The sequence below is a fragment of the Homo sapiens genome, chromosome 10 (assembly GCF_000001405.40).
Source record: "Homo sapiens chromosome 10, GRCh38.p14 Primary Assembly".
NCBI lineage: Eukaryota > Metazoa > Chordata > Mammalia > Primates > Hominidae > Homo > Homo sapiens.
In genome coordinates, this window is record NC_000010.11 from 129,681,810 (window position 1) to 129,703,676 (window position 21,867).

Genomic DNA, 21,867 nt, shown 5'->3' on the forward strand with positions numbered 1-21,867 from the left:
GAGGAACAACTGTATTTGCAAATCCCATATCTGACAGAGGAGTTGTATTCAGAACATGAAACCAACTCTCTAAACTCAAAAATAAGAAAATAAACATTCCAGCTAGAAATTGGACAAACAATCTGAACAGAGACTTCATCCAAGAGGAGATACGTAGGACCATAAGCACAGGAAACAATGTTTATTGTTAGCCAACAGAGAAATGCAAATCAGAGCCTCAGTGAGGTTCCACGCAGAGACCACACACTCCTACAGCCACTCGGAGACCACGTGGCCACTTCCCAGAAAGTTAAGCATCTGTTTCCACAGGAACCGGAAGTTGTACTTCTGCTCTTGTATCCTAAAGAAAGGAAAACTTATGTCCACACAAAAACTGTACACAAGTGTCCATGTCAACTTTATTTGTAGTGACCCCCAAATTGGAAGCAATTCAGATGTCCTTCCAAAGATGAAAGAAAAAGCAAACTGTGGTCTATCCATACAATGGAATACTTATGAAAACAGAATAAAAAGCAGCCAACTATTGATACACGGTACAATTTGGATGGATCTAAAGGGCATTAGGTGGAGTAAAGGAAGCTAATCCTAAAAGATAGGATTTTTTTTGTATGTAACACTCTTGAAATGACAAGCAGTGATGGGGAAGAGATAAGGGTTAACAGAGACTGGGGACAGATGACTTCGTAGGTGTAGCCTGACAGGTGTCTTTGTGATGAGACAGTTCAGTATCCTGTCTGGGGTTTTGTGCATGTAAATCTAAACACATTATAAAATTTCATTTTAAAACATAATTTTTAAAAGTCCATTAAAAATAAAAATACATAAGAATTTAAAATGTTTGTAAAAACTGGTGACATCAAATAAGATAGGTAGTTTAGTTAGATGTATTGTATCAATGCCAGCTTCCTGGTTTTGGTAACGCATGATTATGTAGAAAGTTAAGCTGAATGAAGGTGCCTGGGAACTGTCACTAATATTTTTCTTGTGAATCTTCAATTTCAAACTATAAAGTTTAAAAAAATTTGTGCCTTTTACATACCAGTTTTTTGTTGTTTTTGAGACGGAGTTTCACTCTGTCACTCAGGCTGGAGTGCAGTGGCGCAGTCTTGGCTCATTGCAAACTTCATCTCCCGGGTTCAAGCGATTCTCCTGCCTCAGCCTCCCAAGTAGCTGGGATTATAGGCGCACGCCACCATGTCCGGCTAATTTTCATATTTTTGGTACAGATGGGGTTTCACCATGTTGGCCAGGCTGGCCTCAAACTCCTGACCTCAAGTGATCCACCAGCCTCGGCCTCCCTAAGTGCCGGGATTACAGGCGTGAGCCACCACGCCCAGCCCATACCCATTTTTAAAAAGAGAAAATGGACAAGAGAGCAGGGAATGGCGTTGGCTTTGCTGCTGTGAGTCTTGGAAAACCCATTTCCAGTGCAAGTGCCTGCGTAGGAGTACGGGGGCAGCATTCTTGTAATGAAAGTGAGCCCTAAAGCCAAAAGGTGATATTCCCCCTGAAATTTAGGAAAGAAAGGAAACTCTTAGGCTGGAAAAATGTGGCTGAACTTGATACTGTTCATTTGATGGTTCTTTGATTAGCCTCATTACCTAGTATTTGAACAACATAAAAAATTGGTTAAGAATAGCCAAAGAGAAAATGCCCGGGTGAGTGCTAGGCGTCCATACACATGGCAGCTTTTAACAACGTGCAGCCATGAAATATGGAAAACTTCCTGACGTTGATCACAGTTGAAACTTCATACTTTCTTAATTCAGCCTCTTATTGACAGTAATATATTTTAACTCAAGAATGTGTTCATTCAGTGTATATTGACTTGGCTTGTTGAAATGTTCACAGTACATGTGAACACTGGGTTTCCTGTCATGATGACTTAAGACAGGAGGACAGCAGTGAGTGATTCCTGCCAGTCAAGGAACTTTCCCTGGAACCCCACTTGAATGGTAATAATCTGCTCCTATAATTGCTGTGGAAAAGGAAAGCCCTCTGGAGATTTTACATCTAATCATTTATTTATAAATCTGTAGATGGCAGTCTGCAGAAGATGTGTCAGGGGTCAACTTTGTGCTCAAAACAGTTGCCTGATGTTTACATTTCACAGTGTATTTTTTTAACAGTACCTCCAGCCCCCATCATCACAAAAGGACCCTGGCTTGCTGGTAGCTGCTCCCCACTCATCCCACAGCCCAGACACTTCATTACAGATGCCTCGGCAGAGGCTGGTCCCCTCTGTATTTGCTGAAATATGCATGTTTTTCCATCTCATTAATTCAGTCTACATACAATTAATTTTTGCCTATTAATAAACCCCTTGGTGTTAGCGACAGCTATCTAAACCACTTCACCTAGTGTGGAATGAGCAAGTGTACTTGCAAATTTCCATCCCTGGTCTGCATTTTTTAGTGTTGTATTTGTGGGTTGGAGAGTTTGGGTGCATAAATCAAGCATTGTGAAGAAATATAACTGCCGAAGACTCTGGGTTCAGACTGGCTGATGGGAAGTTTGAAATACGAATTAGTTCCACATTAATTGGGGATAGAGGGAGATGCAGGGGGGCCATCCCAGCACGTGGTAGTCAGGGAGGGTCTCTGGCTATGGGAAAATTTGTCAGCCTTGTATGTGCGTGAGACCAACTTTCTTTTTCCACAAATACAAATCCTCTCCAAATTGGACACTTCTCAAAAGATATCTTTTCTGTGTGTTTTCAAATCTCATAATTTCTTAAACATCTAATAAAGTCTGTGAATACACGTAAGTGATTGTGTATGTGGTAACTACACCAGCCAACAGCATTGAAAGGAAAAAGGAAGAAAACACAAAAATCAGAATGGAGCCTTGAAGTTGAGATGAGCACCACCTAGCTCATTTAGAGACATCCACAGGAAAGGAGGTTCCCCAAGACTTTTGTTATGCTCCAAAGCCCTGAGACAGATCCATGTCACAAGGACACCTTTCTCATGGTTCAACATCACCAGCCAGGAGGAAATGCAGAATTCTGTATAAATGTTAGGAATTCTTAGATTTCTCACCTGGATTTGTAAAAATTGCAGTTCATGGCGAGAGACATCCGGGAGATCCAAATGCCATCCTCCTAGAACTTGCTGGAGGAACCAGATTCTTTCTAAGCGATTTGCATCTTGATGTGATGCTACAGTTCTATGACAGGCCCGAGTAGCTGATGAAATTCTACGTGGGAAAAGCTTTTGAGTGCCTGTCCTGGTAAACCTGTGACAGTGGCATCACATAAAGGTTTCCAGAATGTTCTGTGAGGAGATTGAGCCAATGTCGTTGGTCAGCTTAATTGGAAGCAGGTGATTGAAAGTCAGATAAACATGCAAGATTTGCTGATTTTTAAATATGCCATATGTGTCAAATGTATGAATTGTGATGATGGACAAGAACACTTTCGCAGCTTTAATGGGAGCATGTAATGACTTGAACAAGACTGCTTAGTTTTGGTTACTGATGATCAAGTACAGAATCTTGCTGGTGTCTCCAAAACTTCCTGCCTGGCCTGGGCAGCTGTCCTGGCTCCCTCTGGCCAGTTCTCTGCCAGGCAGCCAGTGTGAATCTGGAAGGGGCTAGTCCTGTCTTCCCCTCCCTGTCTAGTGCCTTTAACGTCTCCGCTGAGCCTGCCACCTCCTGGCCTCCTCGACCCTCCACCTCCCCGAGCCGTGGAGGTGAGTCCTAGACCTTCTTCTGTGGGCTCCTCTCCCCGGGGCCCTTTCGGCTCAGCCCCACTTCTCTTATTCACCCACTTGTGTTCTCTGTAGCTAAATGATACATAACAGGAACTCGTTAAGTAGCTTGTGCAGTGAATGAGTTAATCCTAGGTGTTTTCAGAACAGTGAATTTCAGGTTCCTGACTCCGCTTTGAGCTCATTCAAAGAAAGTCATGTAAATAAGACCTAATCATTGCAAGAAGTCTAATGAAGAAACCATTCATTATCTCTGGAGATGGGCAGGTACACCTCACAGAAAGTGAAGTCTGTTGCTGATGAATAGTCTGCATGCCCACATCTTCCTCTGGGTTTCTAAGTAATTGAATAAGAAACGTTTCTATTTATATTCTTATTTATGTGCAACTGTATTTAATTATTCCCTAGTTTTGAGGATTGGCCAATAAACCTTTTCTTCCCTTTTGCCATTGATTATTCTTAAGTTTAAGACAATGCCCAGTGGCAGATGTGCTTAACCGCCATCCTTCATCTAGTTCATGTGACTTTTTAATGTCAATTATAAAGAAAATTACTCCTTTGGCTTCAGAAGTTTATTTAAATCTCTTCTGAGAAAATTGGCAGCTCTTCGGAGTTAATGTCCAGAGCAGCAGAAACAGAAACTGGAGGGCACAGACTGGTGGATATGTGAACAGAAGCACTTTTTTTAAACAAAGTTAAAAAAAAAATGTTATGCTATTGCTAATAAATTGAGTCAGGGGAAAGAAAAAAAAAAGAGATCCCTAAATCAGCTTCCAAGCTGCCATTAAGATGGGCAAGTAAGATAATTCCACATAAATAAGACCAGAGGCCTTGTCTCTGTTTTTATTTATGTATTTATTTTATTATTTTTTTGAGACAGAGTCTCGCTTTGTTGCCCAGGCTGGAGTACAGTGGTGTGATCTCCTCTCACTGCAACCTCTGCCTCCCGGGTTCAAGGGATTCCCCTACCTTAGCCTCCCAAGTAGCTAGGATTACAGGCGCCCACCACCACATCCGACTAATTTTTGTATTTTTGGTAGAAATGGGGTTTTCTGCTGCTCTCAAACTCCTGACCTCAAGTGATCCACCCACCTGGGCCTCCCAAAGTGCTGGGATTATAGACATGTGCCACCGTGCCCGGCCTGCCAGGGCTGTTTTTAAATGAGGATTTCTCCATTTAAGGAGGTCACCTGTCCTGGACGGTATTTCCTAAATGCCTGGCATAGGTGACATCATGCGAACAAGTGATGGTTCAGAATACAGAAGTCATGAGTTTGAAGGCTGTGATAGAGGAAGGCCGGGAGAGAAGTGAGAACAGAACGTGCTTGCCCTGGGCCTGCAGCTGTTGCCAGCATCTTCTGTCAGCTGATCTGGGCAGGGCGTGGGGGTTCTTCTCAGGCCTACCTCCTAAGAACAAAAACATGACTGACCACGAGCCTGTCCTCAGGATGCAGCCTCCATCCTTGGTGGGCACAGCTGAGAGAGGAAGTTCTGAGCTGCTTTGGGGTAGGGCTCTGTTGCACTCACCCTCCCATCTCCTTAGTCGCTGCAACCCTGTGTCACAAATAGTAGGTTCTCAGCAAGTGTGCTGAACCAAGGGGTAAGAACAACGTTTTTATTTTTTTATTTAATTTATTTTTATTTTTTGTTTTTACATTTATTTTTTAATCCATTTGGAATTTTTCTTTTTGAGATATATATAATAGGGATGAACTTTTATTTCATTTTTCTAGACAGGTGTACAGTTACCTTAGGTACATATATTGAATTGTTATGTCTCACCAATGCACCACAACGTAGCAGTCTCTCATAGCCCGACGTATCACCCAAAGTTCTTTGTCTCACGACCAAGAAAGTTAAGGAGCGCCGACGCCAAGGGTATCACTGGACTGAAAATTTAATAAGCAAAAGAAGAAAGCTCTCTGGTGCACAGGGGGGACCCAGAAGAGGGTTGCTGTTTTTACAGTTGAATGCAAAGGCTTTTATAGGAAACTGATGAGAGCTGGGCATCTTATTTGCATACGGTGCAAATCTGTGGTAGCTCCACCCCGTCCTCCTAGTGCACACGTAGGCCCTTAGCTTGAGTTACTCCATATTGCTTTGTTTCCCTTACTGTGCATGTGTCAGGGGACAAAATTTTTCATTGTGGGCATGTCTGGGAAACTCACATGTGTAGCCCTTTTTTTTTTTTTTTATACTTTAAGTTCTAGGGTACATGTGCACAACGTGCAGGTTTGTTACGTATGTATACATGTGCCATGTTGGTGTGCTGCACCCATTAACTCATCACTTACATTAGGTATATCTCCTAATGCTATCCCTCCCCCAGCCCCCCACCCCACAACAGGCCCTGGTGTGTGATGTTCCCCTTCCTGTGTCCAAGTGTTCTCATTGTTCAGTTCCCACCTATGAGTGAGAACACATGGTGTTTGGTTTTCTGTCCTTGCAATAGTTTGCTGAGAATGATGGTTTCCAGCTTCATCCATGTCCCTATAAAAGACATGAACTCATCATTTTTTATGGCTGCATAGTATTCCATGGTGTATATGTGCCACATTTTCTTAATCCAGTCTATCATGGATGGACATTTGGCTTGGTCTTTGCTATTGTGAATAGTGCCACAGTAAACATACGTGTGCATGTGCCTTTATAGCAGCATGATTTATAATCCTTGGGGTATATGTCCAGTAATGGGTTGGCTGGGCCAAATGGTATTTCTAGTTCTAGATCCTTGAGGAATCGCCACACTGACTTCCACAATGGTTGAACTAGTTTACAGTCCCACCAACAGTATTAAAGTGTTCCTATTTCTCCACATCCTCTCCAGCACCTGTTGTTTCCTGGCTTTTTAATGATCGCCATTCTAACTGGTGTGAGATGGTATCTCATTGTGGTTTTGATTTGCATTTCTCTGATGGCCAGTGATGGTGAGCATTTTTTCATGTGTCTGTTGGCTGCGTAAATGTCTTCTTTTGAGAAGTCTCTGTTCATATCCTTCACCCACTTTTTGATGGTGTTGTTTGATTTTTTTCTTGTAAATGTGTTTAAATTCTTTGTAGATCCTGGATATTAGCCCTTTGTCAGATGGGTAGATTGCAAAAATTTTCTCCCATTCTGTAGGTCGCCTGTTCCCTCTGATGGTAGTTTATTTTGATGTGCAGAAGCTCTTTAGTTTAAAGACTTCATGTCTAAAACACCAAAAGCAATGGCAACAAAAGCCAAAATTGACAAATGGTATCTAATTAAACTAAAGAACAACGTTTTTATTCTGTATCATCAAGGAGGGAACCCAGCACGCCTCTATCCTTTTAAGAGACACGGCAAGCATCAGACCTGAGGGACATCATCATTTCCTTGCAGCTCAGAATGCACTTAAGTGTCATGTAGTGGGTTTTCTGTTTATGGGTTTGTTTTTTTTTTAGAAAATGTGTTCTTTTCTATCTTTTGTTTGTTTTTGAGACAGGGTCTCGCTGTGTCACCCAGGCTGGATGGAGTACAGTGGCAAGATCTCAGCTCACTGCAACCTCAGCCTCCTGGGTAGCTGAGACTACAGGTGTGCACCACCACGCCCAGCTAATTTTTGTATTTTTTGTAGAGATGGGGTTTAGCCACTTTGCCCAGGTTTGTCTCAAATTCCTGGACTCAAGTTGTCCACCTGCCCCAGCCTCCAAAGTGCTGGGATTACAGGTGTGTGCCACTGCGCCCAGCCCAACCCTGTCCTTTGTTTCTTACAATATTCAACAGTCAGTCACTTCTAGCTTTCACTTTGTCCCATAAAAATATTTCATTGAAAATTGCAAGCCATGGCAGTTTGCAGTGTTTCTAAGCTGAGGAGTTCAGCTCCACACCCAACAGAGCTCCAGCTTCTGGTTTGATTCTTAGAGATAGGAGTGACTTTTTTCAATCATGTACATCATAATTAGGAGGAAGGCATTCAGTCTTGAACATGGGGACAAAAAAGTGCTGGAGATAGTAGCTTGAGAGTTGCAAATATTTATTTTGATTCTGACTTTAATTCTTAAAAATGTTTGTCAAGAAGACAGTGGTGTGATGGAGCAGGTCCTTCGGTTACCACAAGCACACACCCTTTCTCTGTAGTCTTATAGCTTGTTTTCTTGGTCGATTGTGCCAGCTCTTATAAAAATATTATGCTCCCAGGCAAAGGGCCATTTCTGTTGGAATTGTTGAGAAGATTCTTGGCTTAACTCTTGATCCAACTCTGATCAGCTTGGCCAAGACTAGACTTGACAAGTTTGCTCTGAATTGCCTCATGCTGCTGTGTGGGGTTTCAAATCATTGGCTTCCCAGTGCTTTCTGGGCTAGACCAACAAAACAATGCCTGGGAAAAGAGAGATGATAGGCCGTGATAAAACTAAAACTGCGTAATACTGGAATTAACTGAGTTGGCCATGTAGATGGCAAGATATTAAAATTGAGTCCTTGTGTGCCAAAGTCGTAAACTCATTCAGATAGGCCCTAGGTCTGTGAATGTTTGTTGTTGAATCCTAGGCTCTGGGTGGAACCGAAAGCTGAAAAACATGAAATTCCCCCTCTGTCCTTTGGATCTTATTCAGACAGTCATTTCCTAGCTATTTCAAGTTTTGATCAAAACAGACACGCAGTAGAAGCCCAGTCTAAAACATCGGTAGTTTATATCACATATTTACTTCCATGTGTCTTAAGTGGTTAAGTTGTAGAATTATGTCTTTTAGAGAATGGATGAAGAAGTCTAGGAGTACAATAGGCAAGAGAATATAGCAAAGTAGTTATATTTTGTCAATTTTAAAGTAAATTCTGAATCATTTTAAGTATATTCAGTAACACCCGTTTGCCCCCACCTTCCTTCCTTTGAGGTTTTCACTTATTCACTCATTAATAATTCATCAGTCTTTGCTGTTTGTGGCATGAGTATGTACAAAAGGCACTGCGGCGTCCATTGCTGTGAGTAATATAGAGATGTCCAAAGGTGTGGCTTTACCTGTGGAAACCACAGGACCATACCCAGAGCATTTGGAGGTGCCATATGCTGCTTAAGGGTGGCACATGGAGGGGAGGCTGGGCTGCACGCATGCTGGTCCTGAGGTGACCCTCTGGCCGCAGGAGAGCTGGAAAGGTGCCAGCCGTGGGTGCCATGCACTTGTCTGAGGCCAGGATGGGGAGACCACATTCCAGGTACAGGGATAAGAGGAGGAAAGTCCCAGGAGTGGGAAGGCCTGGGGGAAAAGGGGAGAAGGTCAGGGGGAGGCAAGTTGGCCAGATCGGCTGGAGCTTGGGATTCAGCCAGGACAGAGCCTGAGCCCCAGGCCAGACTGCAGGGCTGTGCCCAGCACTGGATGCAGAGTTTGGATCTGATTCTGAGTATGTGGTGATGACTCGGGGAGGCTTGTGAGCAGGATGGTGACAACCAGGCAGGATTTTAGGAAGGTTTGTCTGGTTTTGGCAGGTTCTCTGGATGTGACTGGAGTGTGAAGAGGCCAGTTTAGAGGCTCTGGAGGTTGTTCAGAAGTGGCAACAAAAGGGAATGGAAATAAGAGATGTTGCAAAGCAGAAACCAACTGACATGGAGTGCGGGAGAACTTGAAGGCAGCAGTGGGAACTGGGAGCTGTTCCCGGCGTGGGGAGAAGGCTGACGTTGATGTTGCCTAAGGAGTTAGAGGTGATGACCAGGTTCCAGGTGGCTGATCTGGATAGGCAGCTGCATGGGGCAGGAGCCCCAGTGTGGCACAGCTGTGTCTGTCCCCTGCCGGTCCTCAGAAAGTGACACCTAACACTGTCCCAGTCCACACAGAGCCTTGTCCAGTAGTCAGGGTGAGGTGAGTGGAAGCAAGAAGAGGAGCTGGCAACAGGACTTGGGAGAGGCGGAGAGCACAGCAGGCAGCTGGGCCCAGACGTCAGCCCCAGGCAGTGTCCTGAAGCAGCGTGTGCACCTGGGCAGTGCAGGCATCGCGAGTAAGAAGAGGGTGTTAGCTCGGATAACTGGGGCTCCTGAGCAGCCTTCAAGAGGACAGGTTCCTTGGGGCTGTGGGTTTCAAATAACATCATGGAGGAGGGAGCAGAGAGGCTTGAAAATAAACGGCGGTGGCCGGGGGGAGCACAAAGAAGCCAGGCCTGGCAGTGGCACAGGTGTCAGGGGTTTCATGAAGGAGGGGCCCGGGAGTGTGCCTGCCACATGGACACTGGAGCGAAGGTGCACCCTGAGGCAGCCCACAGTGAGGAATTCAAACGCAGCTTCCTGGGCTGGATCCTGCAGGGCCTGAGTTCTCTGTTCCAGGGGCATCTTCATCTGAGGATTTGGGGTGTCCGTGCCCTCTCCTGGTTGAAAGTGTTAGAAGCCACGTTGGAGAGGCCACCACTCAGGTGCTAAAGTTAAAGCTCTAGAGTTTGGTGCCTGCCACTTAGCTGCATGGCCTTGGGAGTTATTCACTCCTCTGCACTTTGGTTTTCTCGTTAATCAAACTGGAATCCAGATACTCACCTCCTACCTTGTTATGGGAACTAGACGTGGGCGGTGCACGTGGGGGCACCGAGCACAGTGCCCAGCACCCAGTGGGTGCTCAGGGGATGGCAGCTGCCATGATTTTTGGGACTGAATGCTTTGATACCACCCAAATATATGGTCTGAGGTGGTTGTAAATAGAATTAGCAGAGGAGATGATACAGACTCAGAGTTGAATTAGGGTTTGAAGAAGGGCTTAGGTCTGGAGCGTTACAGGTGGGAGGACCAGCAGAGAGTGGTCAGGAATCAGGAATGACAGGACACACCTGGGGAGCCTGAGCGGCGGCTTCCAGGCAGGGAAGAAAAGCTCGGGGCAGTATGAGTCCAGACCAGGGGCCTATCAGGCGCCTTCTATGCAGGGTCAGGTGGTAAAGAATTATCTCAGCCTTAGTGGGCTAGAAGATCTCTGTCATAGCTATTCAGCTCCGTTGCTTTCTGAGTAAACAAATGGGCGTGGCTGTGTTCCAATGAAACTTTATTTACAAAAACAGATGGTGGGCCAGTTTGGTATGTGGAGGCATGTTGACTATGGACACCTTGAAAATCCCATGTGGCAACAGATATGAGCCAAGTGGTGACGTGGAATGCCCCATCGTTGAGGGATGGGGACGCAAGGGCAGCGAGGAGGTCCTGTGGGTCCGGGTGTGGCGTGGGCCCAGCGTGGCCATGGCATCTGGGGCCTCAGCTGCAGGGTTGCAGTGGAAGGAAGGGGAAAGAAGCTCAGAGTGCATTCTGAGGGTCAAACTGGCCTGTAAGTGACAAACTGAGGTCACTTCACATGTACATGGAGGGAGACAGGCTGTCTTTGGAGCAGTGTCCATGCAAGCCTGCCTGGAGGGAGCTGCCACCCTCAGCTGCAGCCCCAGACCTCGCGGTTGCTCTCATCCGTCGTTCCCAGTGTGGGCAGTGACGCAGCACCACGGTAAGTTCTGTAGAGTGGACGCCACTCGCTGGCAAAGCCCAGCAGGGCAAGGAATAAGTGTCACTCAGTCTTTATCCAGAAAAATCCACCAATGTACTTTTAGTGCAGTATTAACACATGGTAGAAAATGGAATTGCCTAGAGGATTTTAATCTCTGATGGATTATTCTTGTACCTGTACCTGTCTGATGGTCGTGTAAGTCCATGTTAACAAACCTGGGACCACAGGAAAGGAGAACTGATGCGAATACAAACAGGTGGAGGATTTCCAGGCGTCAGTGGGGTCTGGGAGACTTTTCCAAGAAGTGTTTTCATTGCAGTTAACATTTTTAAAGATGAATATCTCACTATTATAAAGGTCAATGCCACTTCTGTAATATTAATTTGCAATTGAAAGGTATTTTCTTTTAAGAAGTCCCCTTTTTCAAGTTTCTCAAACTGGAATTTTCTTGAGCATCTAAGAATCCTTTCCTTTCAAAAGATCCCCAAGTTACCCCGGTCTAAGCTAAGAAGGGTTCAGCGTTGGCCGGAAGCATAACTCTAGCTCTCCAAGGCCTTGGGCTGCGGCAGGGTTTGCATGTCCAGGCAGTAGGTGGAGGCTTCTCTTGGTCAGTGTGTCTGCTCAGGGGGAGGCCTGGCTGGGGAAGCGGGTAGCAGTTTGGGACCAGAGCTTAAAAGAGAAGGAGAGACCGGTGCGGTGGCTCAGGCCTATAATCCCAGCACTTTGGGAGGATGGGGCAGGTAGATCACAAGGTCGGGAGTTCGAGACCAGACTGACCAACATGGTGAAACCCCATCTTTACTAAAGATACAAAAATTAGCAGGGTGTGGTGGCGCACGCCTATAATACCAGCTACTCAGGAGGCTGAGGCAGGAGAATCACTTGAACCCGAGAGGTGGAGGTTGCAGTGAGCCGACATCATGCCGCTGCACTGCAGCGTGGGCGACAGAGTGAGATTCCATCTAAAAAGAAAAAAAAAAAAAGTGAGACTTTGAAAGTGATGACAGTTTCCACAGTTCCCATGGGCAGGTGGCTCAGAATGAGGTGGCCTGAGGCCCACAGTCTGTCCTTGGGGACTGGGTGGCCCCCACGTCCAGGCAGCAGGGAGAGGACGTGCTGGCTGCCAAGATGGGGTGGGAGAAGCCCAGGGCATCAAGTGCCACGGAAATAAAGCTGGTTGCCTTAGTTGAATGGCGCCTTTGAGTTCCCAGAAGCTCTTCTCAGCGGGAGGCTCCCTGTCTTTCACCTCTGCTCTTCTGAGGTACCAGTTGAAGGGTTTGGGGGGTGAAATCAAGGCATAGGGCTCCTGGCAACACTACCCCTGGCTCCGGGGTTTGCATGCCGGGGCTTCTTCCTTGTCCTGGCTGTCAGAGAACACCTGGAAATAAATGCTGCATTGTTTTGCTGGAAAATCCTGACACCACCTCCTGCCTTCCCCTGGGAGGGCTGAGACCTGGCCTAGGCATGGAGCTTACGGTCCACAGACCTGCCTGCCTGCAGCATGACAGCCTCCCAGAGGGCTGTATTGATTTTTGAAGAGGAGGAAAAAGGCATACAAAATTGGACTTGCCAGCCTTCTTTGAGTAGAAATTGGTGCTTCCTAAAGGGAATCTTAATTGGCTAGCTTCGAAGCTAAAATGTTTTCTCCCCCTTCCCTTCTCAGAACTCTCCAGCCCCCCTGTTTGTTCTTGTGAGACTTTTCCAAGCCCCAGTTACTTTTCTTTCCTGCTTTGGAACATAATTGGATTCTTCGCTGGGTAGAGTTTTGCTTGGAAGACCTGAGGGTGTAGCTGAACCAAGTTTGAGCACCCTGGAAGGAAGACAGAAGATGCCGGGAGACCAGCCAGCTCAAAGGAGAAAGGGAGGGGGACAGCATCTGAACTCTGGCCTCCAGCATGATTTCATCCTTTAAACTGAAAACCCTGAGTTTCAGTGCCAGCGACGACACTTGTTGAAAAAGTACAAATGTTTTCTGCTTCTTGTAATCTACTTCTTGCAAATATTAGTACTCTGGAAAAAAGATTTATTTTAATAATGTGAGTTTCAGATTTTTTTCTGTAGTTAACGTTGTTTTATTACTCTATATCCTTGCCAGAAAGCGTGTTTTAAGAGTTTCAATTCAAAATTAAATATGACCTCAGTGTTTTAAAATACAATTATATTAACTGTCCATTTAATAGTTGCTGAGGATTTTTTTGGCCACTGATGGATAGTCAAGATACTTGTCTGAGATTAAATGCAGTATTCTCAACTCTGCTAACCAGCTAACTTGTTCCAGCTGCAGCAATCAACAGGAAAAACAAGGGCTTTCTATGAAGTGAGCTGGAGAAAGTTGTTCCCGGATAAAATTGCAGTACTATTCTATAAGCTGTGCTTTTCTTTTAAAAACTCCACTGTGTTTCATAATAGGGAACTATCTATTATTTATTTAGAACTGTACAAACCAATTTACAAGACAGGTAATTTAGTGACAGAATTATTTATTAATGAGCCCAAGTATACAAGTTAATGGGACCGAGCCCCGTGGAGGTCAATCCTCATATAATCCATGCCTTTTGGAAAGAAAAGTATTGTCTTCAGAACATTTAGTTATGATTGTTAAATTTAAATTACGATATATTCTCTTGCTAAGACAAAAAATAATTTTTTCTGAATTGCATGATGACAGAGTTAGTCTGTAAGCTGTGTGGAGATGAATTGTGTCAATTAGGGGTAGGTACATCTTAGCCCTGTTGGTACCAAAAGTATTATTTCTCATTGCATGGGCTCACAGGAGAAAGCAAGCCTGTTCTTTAATAGAGACGACAAATCAGAAACCGCTGCCTGCCTGGGAGATGGAACAGTCGTGCAGGCGAGGAGCTCAGAGGGCGGGCGTGGCTTCCCAAGCTCTGGCACAGCCTGCAGGCCTTATCAGGTGCTCTGCTTCTGGGGTACTCGGCACTTTGCTCTTCCGGTGGATGGGGGAGGGGCGGGCTGTTCCATGTGACAGCATGTGGGCTTGTCATGATTCGGGGTGACCACTGGCTTCCATTTCCCAGGAGTGGCTTTGTCCTCGCGGTCTTACGGTATGTTTCCAGTAGATGAGAAGGCATGCCTACAGACAGGGCCTGCTGGTGTCTGCTGTGTGTCATGGGGGGAGGCAAGGTTTTCCTCACTGGGACCTCTTCACTCCCCCTTTATTAATGACCCCCTGGCTCCTCCCCAGAGGCCCAGAAGCCTAGAGGAGAAATGAGGGTACAGCATAGATGCCTTAGTGTAACGAGTGGGGCTGCTGGAACTCAACAGACTATTTACAGTTACAGCATGAAGGTGGTGCTTGAAGGATTTGCTGCTTCGTTTCATTTTTCTCATTTCATCTCATCATGAAGTCGATTGCATTATATCAGGGGGTGGGGAATGGAACAGACACAGAGGAGAACCCACCAAGTTCTGTGTCTTCAAACCTGCAGCATTTCCAGGTTCCGACTGCAGAGTCCTATCAAAGTAAGCAAAATTGGAAGTGATGCCCATTTCCTGGGCTTTCACAAACTTTGTTATTCTGCAGTCTACCACAAAATCTGAAAAGGCAGAGAAATGTAGCTTTCACTGTTTAGAAAATCTTTGTGAGTTTTTCTTCCCCCTAGGGAATGGTTTTCAGCACATTATTCATTGGAAAAATGAAATCTGAAATGTAGGTGTATTTTCAGTGCACGTGCTCCGGAGGAGCCTCAGCACCCTTGTGTCTTGTCTACCCATTCGCTCAGTGGGCAGGGATTGAGCACTGGGAATGTGCTGGGTCGGAGCCGAGGGCTGGAGGCAGAGTTGGGACCAGCCCCAGGATGGTGCCTGGCTGTTTGTCCCAGGGCTCACTGGAACAGCCCTCCTGGGCAGCCCTTGGTTGGACTTCTTTACGCAGCCCAGTCCACACCTCACCTGTGCATTCGTCAAGCCATTGAGTGCAGTGTTGTGGCCTGAATCACTCCAGGCCTTGCTTTGGAGGGTTGACAGTAGGGGACACGGCAGGCCGGGGGCATTCTGGGACCCAGGTCTCCTGCCTATGTGGAATACTGATGTGTGTTGTGTGGACAGGTCACTGATGTGTTTAAATGTAAATCTGACCTTCCTTTAAGAGCAATTGGGCAGCAGTCTGGGAGCTTGAGACTGTATGATGTGGACACCTAGTATCTCTTTCTGGAAGCTTCTAGTGTATAATAGAAAGTAGGTTGGTTACTCATTCCCATTGTCTTTGAATAATGGGGCAGTGGGCCTGGATTGTTGTCCTGTGGATTGGGGAAGAGATCATAGAGATCATAGAAGTAACCTTAGAGTAAAAGAAAGTAAATCAAAATGCTATTCTATGTAGAATATATGCCATCAAGGGCAGAGCATGTGGGCGTGTGGACTTGTCATGATGAGGAGTGACCACTGGCTTCCATTTCAAAGAGGAGAGCTGGAGTGCTTCTATTCCACGGAGATGCCCCAGACTAAGGTCTTTGGAGTCAGGCTTTCATTCCATTCCTGGGTCTGTCCCTTATGCGTTTGGTAAGTTGTTATTACATAACCTCCGGACCTCAGTTTCCTGTTTTAGAAATAGAGATAATGGTACCTCCCCCAAGGGTCTTTGGGAGGAATAAATAGAACAGCTTATAATGGAATGCCTGGCACATGTTAGGCACTCAGTAAATAGCAGCTGTGCAGTGTTGTGCGAGAGCTTACATCGAGCTGTTTTCCCAGAGTGCATTGATCCTCAACCGTGTTCATGTACCCCTGCCCAAGGTGCCATATTGTGTAATGGAGATGTGACGTCGAGGCGCCATGTTGCCTGGAACTTCTGGAGTCAGCCACCTTGCCTGTGGCTGACCTTGGCTGTGTTCCTGAGAGAGTGAGGATGTGAAATTGCATGACACAAAGTCGGTCATCTTGTGCCCGTCTCATCTACTCTCACTGGTGGTTCAGTTCTTCTCTGCCCCTAAATTCTTACATCCCAGAGCAGGTTCTTGGTTGAGACACAGGTGCTTGCCTCAGGTTTCCTTGGAAAACTCCAGTGGCACCAAGCGGTCAGTAGCCTGTAGCGGCCACTTGCACTGTTGTCCCCTTTTGTGGACGTGGACGTTGACTCTCCATGTCTGGTCTGTGCAGGAAAGAGTGAGTCCTCTCTTTCTCACTCCAGAGCCTGCAGGGGTACCCACCCTCAGCCGGGCAGGGCAAGCCAGGACAGAGGCTTTGAGGGCATCTGAGGAGGAAACTGCAAGGTGTGCAGTTTGGCCCAGCAGAGAGAGACCAGAATGCAGAGGGTACTCAGGGCAGGCGGTTGCTACTCTGGGCTGTGTGCGTCATAGCGTTTGCATGACAGACACCAGCGGTTGACCAGATGCCCCATTTGAAGCCCATGTCCAGGCATGCAGTGTTGATCTCTGTGTATAGATCGACGTGGCTTCTTCTCTAGGGCTGGGGAAGAGAACTGTTTAATAATGCACAGTTGCCTAGCCTCAAAGATCCTTTGAGAAATAGCTACTCTGTGCAAGTTTTCAACAATTTGTTTAGACTAATGGAATGACTCTTTAAAAGTTTATATCTTTACAGATATACAAGCACTTTATTTCTAAGCAACTAATTTAAGCTGGGAAAGAAGAACGTGCCCTCATGTGTGTGTAAAACGTTAGAAAGCAGCTCTGTTCACTGCCGTGGTGGTGGAAGGCATGTGCAACACAGACATAAGGCTATTTGAACTCTTTATTTGCCACATTTACAATATTAATAATAGCGTTTCTAGAAGTTGTCACATCAAGTAAAAGATCTTCATTCCAGGCTGTCTTTAGGGGCCAAATTGAGACTGGATGCATGCATTTAATAAATTGTAGTCTCACGTAGTCATTTTTGTAAATAATTAGTTTCAGTGAAAGAATAAGTTAGCATATTGTATGCATCTAATGTTGCAAATGTACATACAGCAAACTTTGCTATTAATCAACAGTCAGGCACCGCAAGTGGGGTCTCATACATAATGAATTGTGCTTAAGCCTCATGGGCTTCTTGATAGAAAAATAAAAGAAAACACAAGTGCAGTAAGCTTTTGAATAAAATTTAACTAGATTGCTCTGCATCCTGTAATTGTTTTGGAATCTTTAGGGACCTGATCATTCATCTATAGTTTTGGGGTGTTTTTATCTTCATCTGTCAAATAGTAGAGACTTTTAATGATATGTTAAAATGTTGATAAAATACAATTTTCCTTTTAATGATTTGAACATTTGGAGGGGGGAGGTAAATAGGCTTTTTAAGGCTTTCTGATCTGCCAAGTATACTATTTGGGTTGTCTTTTAAAAATATTTTCATTATTTCCTGTATTTTTAAGAATCAATTATTTTTAAAAAGAAAAATATATATAGTCCTTATGGGGAAGAGTTGAAAATTTACATAAAGTGTTCTCTGTATTTTTGGTGGGTGTTTTAAAATACTATGGTAAATACCTTTGCAGTTTTGTTTAGGATCTGACATTAATTTGAGCCCCAGATATTGAGGGCATAGCGTGCCGGTTAAAAATCGGTATCCAGTTTTAGCAAGATACCTACGACCACCCAGAAAGTAACTTGGAACCTAACTTAATTTTAAATGGCCTCTTTCTCCTCTTCACATTATTGACATTAGTACATGAACCCGTTGGTGGCCTATAATAGGATCATAAACATAGGATTCATTTTGGGATGGGGTTGAAGGCATAAAAGCAAGGAGTGAGATTTATGTCCACCTTTATTATGAACCACACAGTAAAAGTGCAGTAAAGATCTGCTGACTTGACAGCCAGAGCTCCTCACAGCCCTCCTGCAAGCACTCATGGAACCCGTCCTTCTCCAGGAAGACCTCCTGTTTACTTCTGCGCTAGGAATGGGCTGTGCTCATCACTTACTTCCCTGTCTTATATGATGTCCTTTTGTACAGAATGCATCTTTAAAATAGGCCCTACAACTAAACACATAACAGTCAATCAGTAGACTCACCTGTGATAAGTGGGAGGCCCTCTTGTACCAGAAAGTTTTAAAAAAAAAATACATTACTCATACCTGTCATTGTTTGTTACGTAAACTTAAGCATATTTTTGATGTTTTGTGCGTGTTTATTCACTTCTTCCTTTCATAGTTGAACACATCTTGTTCTTGAGGTTGCGTTGGAAATCAGTAGGGTGGCGCATGAATCACTGAGAACAGCCCACGGTGTGTGGTCAGTGCCATCGTCATCATCGTCATCAGCAACGGCAGCTCAAGACCAGCAAGGCCGCGGTTGTGTCTGTCATGAGCCCGTTGGCATGCCGTTTGTTTTTTATCTTTGCCACAGTTGCACTGTTGAGATCCATGTTTCCTATTACTAACATCAGCACTTTTAATTTTCCGTTTCTACTCAGTTTCCTAAAAGAACTATAGAATATTCAAATAATTGCATGCGCTTTGTCAAACGTACATGGTCATAGTGCCCAAACAGTTGCTGGCCACCACGCAGAGCCACGGAGCAGTCACTGCCATGTTCCTTCGCAGCCTCCTCGGGGCCTCCATGAAACATCGGGGCCAATGGAAGGCGGAAGTGCTGTTTCTGATGTTGACCTGTGTGTTTGACCCTCACCTTCCCTTCCTGCGCAGTCGGCTGTCAACTCCAGAGGAAGGGACAGCCCTGAGTCAGTATTCTCACCACTAACCGCATGCATTTCAGATCCTCAGTAAATGATTGAATGAAATTAAGCCACTGCATTTGTCTGAAATACAGAGTCAAAAGGTTTTATTCAGCCTCCTGTTTAAAATAAAATGATCTTTATTAAGAGCAGGTAGCATAGTTTATTTCTTTTCTTCAGTCTTACCCCTGAAAGAAAACATCTGAGCTTTAGCAGGAAGTTATAATTAAATGCAGGACAAATCCATCAAACACAAGACACTCTGCTAGAGATCTCTAAATGGGACATAATTGTGCATTTACCAGTGATATTTAGCAAGAGTCTCCATGCAGCGTGGATAATCTTTGGCTGAAGGCATGTTCCTTCCTACATGAGCCCCGGAGTCTGCTGCTCTGCCCTTCAGTCCCGAAGCCTCTCCTGGCCCTCCACACCAGGTTCTGGAAGCCAGAGGAGGTGGGGTGCTCACTAGCTGGGTTTGGAAAATGTTGCTCATCACCTGAGCATCTGAAGTGCTGTGTGTGGCGAGGCCACTAAAAGCTTTTCAGATCCCCACCAGTTTCCGTGCAACCTCCTTCACAGCCTCATGGAAGCCTTGCGTCCAAGCTCGGCACCTTGCCAGATTCCAGAGGAACTCAGAGGAGCACCTGTCTTTGGAACGAACTCTTTCCTTGGGTGACCCTCCAGGGTGGTCAGGTAGCATTCCCAGACCATAAGATGAAAACGTCGTCCATGGAGAGAGAGAGGAGGTGTTCGGGTCACAGGAGAGGCAGAGGGTACACAGCACTCCCCATCTGGAGTGTCCCACGGTCAGCCCGATGGTGCCTCAGATGTGAGTAACTTATGAAGGACTCTTGGCCGATTTTCTTAAATCAAACAGGATTCAAGCCAAGTACATCGTGTGTTAATGTCTCTGGGGAGTAGAATTCATTCAGAAATGGACATTTAGTGATTCTCTACTGCCAGTGGAATCTTAAGGCACCCAAAAATCTGAATACCCAAATCTCCCAGCTGGCTGGTCAAGTTTTAGAATGTTGAGCACTCTAAACTGGGAAGAGCCTGGTAGCCGTGGTACCAGGAACACTCACTCTTCCTGCTTGCTGCTTTCCTCATGCTGAGCTGGGCTGAGATCAAGACTCCTGGGGCACTTGCTTCCTCTACCCTTTGTCTGTGGCCAGGTGGGATTCCCACACAGTCAAAGGAAGCCCGTGTCCAACAGGGGCCATTTCCCTTAAATTTCTCTCATCACCCCCAGCTCTGCTGTGCCTCAGGTGGGCCGCTGCCACTCTTCCTTCACGTTCTTGATAATATCAGTGTCTTGAAAGGAAGCTTCTTGCAGGTAGGGAGGACGCTTTTCCCTGGAATAGCTGCTGTGCTCATATGAGTTTGTGCTGGAACATTCTAACCACCTTTCTGTGCCCTGGTTTGGGTTGAAGGGAAGGCGATTTAAATCAAAATAAATCTGCAAGGCAGTTCATCACTGGGACATTGTTTTTCCAAGCCGGGGAAGGCGAATGGGTTAGGGCAGCTTCCCACAGACGGCAACTCCGGGAGAATATCACCGGGGCCTTCCAGTCTGCCGCAGCCCCGGGAGCTTCTACCCAGGGCAGGTCAGTGTTGTCCGGTTTGATTTTAAGGAACCCCTGGCATTGCCAACAGTTGTGTTTTTCTTAAAGAAATCCTTGAGCCAGGTCCACATGGCTCTAGCTTTGCTGTGTTAAGGTGCCCGACGCCCTGTTGTCACATGTACACACGCCCAGCAAAGCTGGGCTGCTTCACCCACCAGCCACCATCCTCTCGTGCCAAGTCAAAGAAAGTGAAAGCCACCAGTGTCATGATATTTGCCTCGGGATTATTCTGTGGGTGACACGTGATGTCCTAGGAGAGGCCTAGGGGAGGTGCGACTCTGATGGGCTCTGAGTGTTTCCCCACCAATGCTGGGAGAGGGTCTTGTCTCCTGCTGGGTTCAAGGGATGGGATAGGAAGGGGCTGAGGTGCCAGGCAAAAGTCTTGTCTCCTGCAGGGTTTGAGGGATGGGACAGGAAGGGGCTGAGGTACCAGGTGAGGGTCTTGTCTCCTGCACTGGCTCCTGCTGGCATCATGAGCTGGCATCCGTGGCAGCCCCCGGAGCTGCAGGATTTGGGCTTCCGAGCAAAGGTGCTCCCCCGGCAAGGATGGGGCGGACCACAGGGCCGGCATTTCAGTGGTGGGTGAGTTGCAGGGCCCCTGGGGAAGACTGGGACGTGGCATTTCCATGAGCGTGGGCTACGGAGCCCGTAATTGTTAGTGTTTCAGGGTTTGCCAGTGGGGAAGCTTGAGGAACTCCCCCGTGATAAGCGCCGCCGTGAGAGAGGCCATCACCCCAGCTCTTCTTCCAGGGCCGAGCGCGGCAGGGAAGGAGGAGAGGGCAGGGCAGGAGAATAAATTTCATTTTACTGTAGAAATGGAAATTTGTGTCATGGCTTTAAAAATCTGGTTTTATGTGTGTGTTTAATGCCATTCATTTTAAATGTAGTATCATAAATCATTGCTTCAGAATCAAAGCTGTTTAATTACATTTCACCCATGAATAGTTATCTAATGCCAATAGAGAAAGAGTTAAAAAGGAGAACTACAGAGTAAATCAGAGGTTGAGATCTTCAGCACAAGCATAAAAAATCAATTTAAGATGAATTTTACTACTATAAAAATTCTTCAAATATCCCTTTAAGAGTGGGAACTGCTAGGAAAGCCAGCTCACATTTCAATTCCCTCAGCAGCATGAGAGAAGGACGCCCGCGTGGGCAGAGGCTTGGTGTGCACCCCGTTTTGCTCAGGGGTGATGAAGGAATCCTAACTCTGGAGTCTGAGCAGTTGCTGGGGGCACAGAACCTCCCAGCTCTCGTGGTAGAATGCCCCCTCTCCCACAGTGTACCCTCGCTTCCCTGAGAAACCCCATCTGCGGGGTGTGATGGCCAGCCAGACCCCGCTAGTCCTGAAGACTAACCCTGACCTTGAGGTGCATGCCTCGCCAACCAATCCCACATCCCAGTCTTACCCGGGGACCGTACAACTCACCCACCACTGAAACGGCAGCCCCTGTGCTCCACTCCATCCTCGCCGG

At 46.0% G+C, this 21,867-nt stretch overlaps 1 protein-coding gene across 1 annotated transcript in view, besides 4 other annotated features; it reads left to right on the top strand.

Annotated features, from left to right (window-relative positions):
* MGMT (O-6-methylguanine-DNA methyltransferase) overlaps window positions 1-21,867 on the top strand; it is a 303,743-nt gene that overhangs the window by 214,569 nt on the left and 67,307 nt on the right. The gene's annotated exons all lie outside the window — the stretch shown is intronic.
* Window positions 3,136-3,637: an enhancer, noted in NCBI's record as "H3K4me1 hESC enhancer chr10:131483209-131483710 (GRCh37/hg19 assembly coordinates)". NCBI's record gives its function as "activates a minimal SCP1, AML or CMV promoter by ChIP-STARR-seq in primed H9 embryonic stem cells {active_cell/tissue: H9 hESC(primed)}" and the evidence as "EXISTENCE:reporter gene assay evidence [ECO:0000049][PMID:30033119]".
* Window positions 3,638-4,137: an enhancer, noted in NCBI's record as "H3K4me1 hESC enhancer chr10:131483711-131484210 (GRCh37/hg19 assembly coordinates)". NCBI's record gives its function as "activates a minimal SCP1, AML or CMV promoter by ChIP-STARR-seq in primed H9 embryonic stem cells {active_cell/tissue: H9 hESC(primed)}" and the evidence as "EXISTENCE:reporter gene assay evidence [ECO:0000049][PMID:30033119]".
* Window positions 9,326-10,193: an enhancer, noted in NCBI's record as "H3K4me1 hESC enhancer chr10:131489399-131490266 (GRCh37/hg19 assembly coordinates)". NCBI's record gives its function as "activates a minimal SCP1, AML or CMV promoter by ChIP-STARR-seq in primed H9 embryonic stem cells {active_cell/tissue: H9 hESC(primed)}" and the evidence as "EXISTENCE:reporter gene assay evidence [ECO:0000049][PMID:30033119]".
* Window positions 10,936-11,436: an enhancer, noted in NCBI's record as "H3K4me1 hESC enhancer chr10:131491009-131491509 (GRCh37/hg19 assembly coordinates)". NCBI's record gives its function as "activates a minimal SCP1, AML or CMV promoter by ChIP-STARR-seq in primed H9 embryonic stem cells {active_cell/tissue: H9 hESC(primed)}" and the evidence as "EXISTENCE:reporter gene assay evidence [ECO:0000049][PMID:30033119]".